At 40.8% G+C, this 6,562-nt stretch overlaps 1 pseudogene, besides 1 other annotated feature; it reads left to right on the top strand.

The window, feature by feature from the left end:
• Window positions 4,655-5,166, top strand: RPL32P36 (ribosomal protein L32 pseudogene 36; annotated as a pseudogene).
• Window positions 5,105-6,304: an enhancer, noted in NCBI's record as "CDK7 strongly-dependent group 2 enhancer chrX:40767632-40768831 (GRCh37/hg19 assembly coordinates)". NCBI's record gives its function as "activates an origin of replication core promoter dependent on BRD2, BRD4, P300/CBP, MED14 and CDK7 cofactors, with strong dependence on CDK7, by STARR-seq in HCT116 cells {active_cell/tissue: HCT116}" and the evidence as "EXISTENCE:reporter gene assay evidence [ECO:0000049][PMID:35650434]".

The following is a 6,562-nucleotide window of genomic DNA, read 5'->3' on the forward strand; positions in this document are numbered from 1 at the left end:
TGTGACCACATCAATTGATAAAGAAAAAGCATTTGACAAAATTCAATACCCACTTATGATAATCAGAAAACTCTACGCAAATTAGGAATAGAGGGGAACTTTTTCAACTTGATAGAGAGCATCTACAAAAACCCTACAGTTAATATAATACTTAATGATAAAAGACCGAATGCTGGCCGGGCGTGGTGGCTCACGCCTGTAATCCCAGCACTTTGGGAGGCTGAGGTGGGCGGATCATGAGGTCAGGAGTTCAAGACCAGCCTGGCCAATATGGTGAAACCCCGTCTCTATTAAAAATACAAAAATTAGCCGGGCATGGTGGCACATGCCTGTAATCCCAGCTACTCAGGAGGCTGAGGCAGAAGAATCACTTGAACCCGGGAGGTGAAGGTTGCAGTGAGCCGAGATTGCACCACTGCACTTCAGCCTGGGCAACAGAGCGAGACTCCATCTAAAAAACAACAAAAACAACAAAAGACTGAATGCTTTCCCCTTAGGATAGGGAAGAAGCCAAAAATGGCCACTCTCACTACTCATATTCAACATAGTACTGGAAGTTCTAGCCAGCACAATAAGGCAAGAAAAAGGAATATAAGGCATACAGATTGGAAGGAATTCTTTCAAACTGTCCCTATTTGTTGATGGCATGGTAGTATATGTAGAAAATCCTAAGGGATTTACAAACAAAACAAAACAAAACAAAACAAAAACCTACTAGAACTGATAAGTGATTTCAGCAAAGACAGTGTTCAAGAATAACATTAAAAATCAATTGTATTTTTATATACTGGCAATGAACATGTGAACATTTTCACAATTGAAAATAAAGTATCATTTAAAATAATTCAGAACAAAACATAACATTCTCCAAAGAAGATATATAGATGGCCAATAAGCACATGAAAAGATGCTCAATATCATTAATCATTTGGGAAATGCAAATCAAAATTACAATGATATAACACCTCACACCTACTAGGGTGGCTACTATTTAAAAAAACAGAAAGTAGGGCTGGGTGCGGTGGCTCATGCCTGTAATCCCAGAACTTTTGGAGGCCAAAGCAGGTGGATCGCCTGAGGTCAGGAGTTCAAGACCAGCCTGGCAAAACCCCGTTTCTACTAAAAATACAAAAATTAGCCGGCTGTGGTGGCTTGCACCTATGGTCCCAGCTACACAGCAGACAGAGGCAGGAGAATCACTTGAACCTGGGAGATGGAGGTAGCAGTGAGCTGAGATTACACCACTGAACTCCAGCCTGGGCAACAGAGGGAGACTCTGTCTCAAAAAAACAAAAGCAAGCAAACAAACAAACAAACAAACAGAAAGTAAAAGGTGTTGGTAAGGATGTGGAGAAATTGGAACCCTTATACACTGTTGGTGGGAATATAAAATGATACAGTCACTGTGGAAAACAGCATGGCAGTTCCTTTAAAAATTACAAATAGGATTGTCATACAATTCAACAATTCCATTTCTGGGTATATACCCCAAAGAACTGAAAGCAGGGTCCTGAAGAGATATTTATATACCCATGTTTATAGCAGCATTATTCACAAATGCTGAAATGTAGAAGCAATCCAAATGTCCATCAACAGATAGATGGGTAAGCAAAATGTGGTCTGTCCATTACAATGGAATATTATACAGCCTTAAAAAGGAAGGAAATTCTGGCACATGCTACAACATGGATAAACCTTGAAGACATTATGCTAAGTGAAATAAGCCAGTCATAAAAAGACAAATACTGTATGATTCCACTTATATGAGGTACTTAGAATAGTCAAAATCATAGAAAAAGACAGTAGAATGGTAGCTGCCAGGGGCTGGGGGAATTGGGAAGTGGGGAGTTATGTTTAATAGGTATAGAATTTCAGTTTTACATGATGAAAAGAATTATGGAGATGGAAAGTAATGATGGTTGCACAACATTATGAATATATTTAATGCCACCGAACTATACACTTAAAAATGGTTAAGGCCAGGCGCAGTGGCTCACGCCTGTAATCCCAACACTTTGGGAGGCTGAGGCAAGTAGATCACTTGAGTCCAGGAGTTTGAGACCAGCCTGGGCAACATGGCAAAACCCTGTCTCTACAAAAAAAATACAAAAATTAATCAGGCATGGTGGTGTGTGCCTGTGGTCCCAGCTACTAGGTAAGCTGAGGTGGGAGGATAGCTTGAACCCAGGAGGTGGAGGTTGTATTGAGCTGTGATCACGCCACTGCACTCCAGCCTGGGTGACAGAGCAAGATCTTGTCTCAAAAAAAAAAAAATGGTTAAAATGATACATTTTATGTATATTTAAACACGATAAAAATGAAAAAAACATATATAGGACTTATATGGTGAAAACTACAAAAATGTTGATGAAAGAAATAAAAGATTTAAATATCTGGAGAAATATACTATGTTCACGGATTGGAAGATTCAACATAGTAAATACATCAATTGATATACAGGTTTAATGCAAATACTATCAAATTCCCAGCAAGAATTTTTACAGATATACACAAGATTATTCTAAAATTTATATGGAAAAGTAAGGAACTAGACTAGTGAAAACAATTTTTTTTTTTTTTTTTTGAAATGGAGTTTCGCTCTTGTTGCTCAGGCTGGAGTGCAATGGCACGATCTCAGCTCACTGCAACCTCCGCCTCCCGGGTTCAAGCAATTCTCCTACCTCAGCCTCCCAAGAAGCTGGGACTACAGGCATGTGCCACCACCTCTGGCTAACTTTTTGTATTTAGTAAAGACGGGGTTCCACCATGTTGGTCAGGCTGGTCTCGAACTCCTGACCTCAGGTGATCCACCCGCCTCAGCCTCCCAAAGTGCTGGGATTACAGGCGTGAGCCACCATCCCCGGCCTCAATAAAAACAAAATTTAAAGAAGAATAAAGTGGGAGGAATTACTATACCCAATTTCAAGACTTATCATATAGCTACAATAATTAGGACTGTGTGTTATTGGTGGAGGGAAAGACACATAGATCAATAGAATAGGACACAGAACCCATAAATAGACCCACACAAGTTTGGTGAAATGATCTTTGACAAAGGTGCACAACAGCTAAATGGAGAAAATAAAGATTTATCAACAAATGATGTTGGAGCAATTGGACATCCATAGGCAAAAAAATGAACCTTGACCTAAATCTTACCCTTTATGAACAACAATTAACTAAGTGGATCACCAACTTAAATGTAATACATGAAATTAGAAAACCTTTAGAAAATAATATAGGTGAAAATTGTCGGGGTTTAGGCAGAGGCAAAGGGATCTTAGACTTAACATCGAAAGCACAAGCCATAAGTGAAAAATTGGTAAGTTGGACCTCATCAAAATTTAAAAATTTTTCTCTAGGAAAGATTCTGCTAAGAAGATGAAAAGACGAGCTACAAACTGGGAGAGAATACTTGTAAACCAATTATCCAACAAAGGACTGGTATATGGAATCTATAAAGAACTCTGAAAACTCAATAGTTAAAAACAAAACGAACAAACAAACAAAAAAAACTGACTGGGCACAGTGGCTCACACCTGTAATGCTAGCACTTTGGGAGGCTGAGGTGGGAAAATCGCTTAACGCCAGGAATTCAAGGAGTTCAAGACCAGTCTGGGCAACATAGTGAGACCCTATCTCTACAAAAAATTTAAAAAATAATCAGGTATGCTGGTGCGCACTGTAGTCCAGATACCCAGGAGGCAATGACAGGAGGATTGCTTGAGCCCAGGAGGTCAAAGCTCCTGCACTCCAGCCCGGGTGACAGAATGAGACCCTGTTTCTAAAAAAAAAAAAGAAAAGAAAAGAAAAAGAAAATGAAAGAAAGAAAAGGCTATATATACTGTATGATTCCATTTCTGTAACTTTCTTGACAAAATCATAGAAGTGGATAACAGATTAGTGGTTCCCAGGGATCAAGGTGAGATGGGAGAGGAGTATAGCCATAAAAGGGCAACATGAGGGAATCCTTGTGATGATGGAAATGTTCTGTACCGGTATTGACGATGTAATAGTGTCAGTATCCTGCTTGTGTTATTGGACTAAAGTTTTGCAAGATATTACCATTGGGGAAACTGGGTAAAGGATATATGGAAATGTCTCTATACTTTTTCTTACAACTGTATGTGAATCTATAATTATCTCAAAATAAAATGCTTAATTAATTTATTATTTGATTTATTTATTTAGAGACAGAGTTTTGCTCTTGTTGCCCAGGCTGGAGTGCAGTGGTGCAATCTCAGCTCACTGCAACCTCTGTCTCCTGGGTTCAAGCATTTCTCCTGCCTCAGCCTCCCGAGTAGCTGAGATTACAGGTGTTTGGCCACCATGCCTGGCCAATTTTTTTTTTTTTGTATTTTCAGTAGAGACGGGGTTTCACCATGTTGGCCAGACTGGTCTCAAGCTCCTGATCTCAGGTGATCAGCCTGCCTTAGCCTCCCAAAGTGCTGGGATTACAGGCGTGATAAAATGCTTAACTTAAAAAGAAATGGGCCTGGCATGGTGGCTCACACACGTAATCCCAGGAGGATCATTTGAGCCTAGGAGGTCGAGGCTGTAGTGAGCCATGATCATGCCACTGCACTGCAGCCTGGGCAATGGAGCAAGACTCTGTCTCAAAAAATAAAACAATAAAATAAAATAGTAGAGGATATTCTCTCTTCCTCAGCGCTGCCTACAGAGGTTGCAGCCATCTCCTCCTTGGCATCACAGCTGCCCTCAGACCCCTTGTGAAACTCAAGATTGTCAAAAAGAGAACCAAGAAGTTCATCCTGTACCAGTCAGACTGGTATGTCAAAATCAAGCCTAACTGGCAGAAACCCAGAGGTATTGACAATAGGGTTTGTAGAAGGTTCAAGGGCCAGATCTTGAAGCCCATCGTTGGTTATGGGAGCAACAAAAAAACAAAGCACATGCTGCCCAATGGTTTCCGGAAATTCCTGGTCCATGACATCAATGAGCTGGAAGTGCTGATGATGTGCAACAAATCTTACTGTGCTAAGATCGCTCACAATGTTTCCTCCAAGAACTGCAAGGCCATCGTGGAAAGAGCAGCCCAGCTGGCCATCAGAGTCAACAACCTCAATGCCATACTGCGCAGCAAAGAAAATGAATAGGCGGCTCGTGTGCATGTTTTGTGTTTAAAGAAAACCATAAAAACTGCCAAAAAAAAAAAATATAGTAGAGGGGGCCTGGTGTGGCAGCTCACGCCTGTAATCCCAGCACTTTGGGAGGCCGAGGCAGGCGGATCACCCGAGGTCAGGAGTTTGAGATCAGTCTGGCCAACATGGCGAAACCTCGTGTCTACTGAAAACACAAATATTAGCCAGGCGTGGTGGCACACACCTGTAATCCCAGCTATTCGGGAGACTGAGGCAGGAGACTCTCTTGAACTCGGGAGGCGGAGGTTGCAGTGAGCCAAGATTGCACCACTGCACTCCAGCCTGGGTGACAGAGTGAGACTCTGTCTCAAAAAAAAAATTTAAAAGAATAGTAGAGGGGCTCCTAAAGAGCAAAAAACCTGTAAGACTAAGAGGAAAAGCATCTAATGGTGTGACTTCAGGCATGTGACAAGTCACTAGAAGAGGGAGAGAGATACACCCTTTGCCACTTTCTTCAAAGTCAATCCTGGCACCTAATATAGAGAGATGTTAGTATTTACCTATGATTGATTTAAGGAAGATTCTTCCCCTATTACCCTCTGTAAAATTTGCAGTCATCATTGATAAAGACAAGACAAGAGTTTGACTCTTAGCCTCAAACATAAAGGACTTCAAAATCTTATTTGGTGCACTATTGGTGTGTTTGTATAATTTAACTATAAGTGACTTACATATTTAAAAAAATTATCACAATTTTGATCTGCACCAGAAAGGAATTTGCAGCTGAAAATAATCTGTTCCTATCTAGGTAAATTTTGAAAATATCTAAATTTTCTTAGTGAGAAAACATCCATGGTCTCAGATGTGGTTATGGGATAATGGTCTCCCAATGACTCATAAAATACCTCTCCTGGGAAAATACCTCTAGCATTACAAATAGGGTTGCAAATCTAAAAAGACAAATTTCATTAAGGCAGGAGATTTTTCTGGGCATGCTATGTAACTCCTGTTGTGGTGGTCTGGTGGAAAGGTTGGTGGAAAAGTGGGGGCTGGAGGGAAGGGGATGGACAGGAGAGACCCTTAAAGAGAGACTCTTGAAACAAGTATCTGTTGTTGGTATAAGAAGTTTAGGAAATATACCTTAAGATAAGAAGGAATTGTACTAAAATGTAGTCATTCAGATTCTTAAAAGGACTGTGTGAGGACAAAAAAATCCAGGGGAAATACATTTTAAAGACATGATCATAAACAGAGTGGCATTAATGGATCATTGTGGGCCCCCTTCAAGATTATGTATTCAGAGGCAGAAGAGAGGGAGGAGGGGCCAGGAAGTGACTGGTGTGGTTGGCGCTCATGGGTTTATTGTTGTCTACAGGTTCTGAATCCTACCCTAGCAATGCTGACCACTCTTCATGGGATGGCTGAGACGGGAACACCCAGTGCCTGGGGTAGGCAGCTGA

This window comes from Homo sapiens, chromosome X (assembly GCF_000001405.40).
Source record: "Homo sapiens chromosome X, GRCh38.p14 Primary Assembly".
Taxonomy (NCBI): domain Eukaryota; kingdom Metazoa; phylum Chordata; class Mammalia; order Primates; family Hominidae; genus Homo; species Homo sapiens.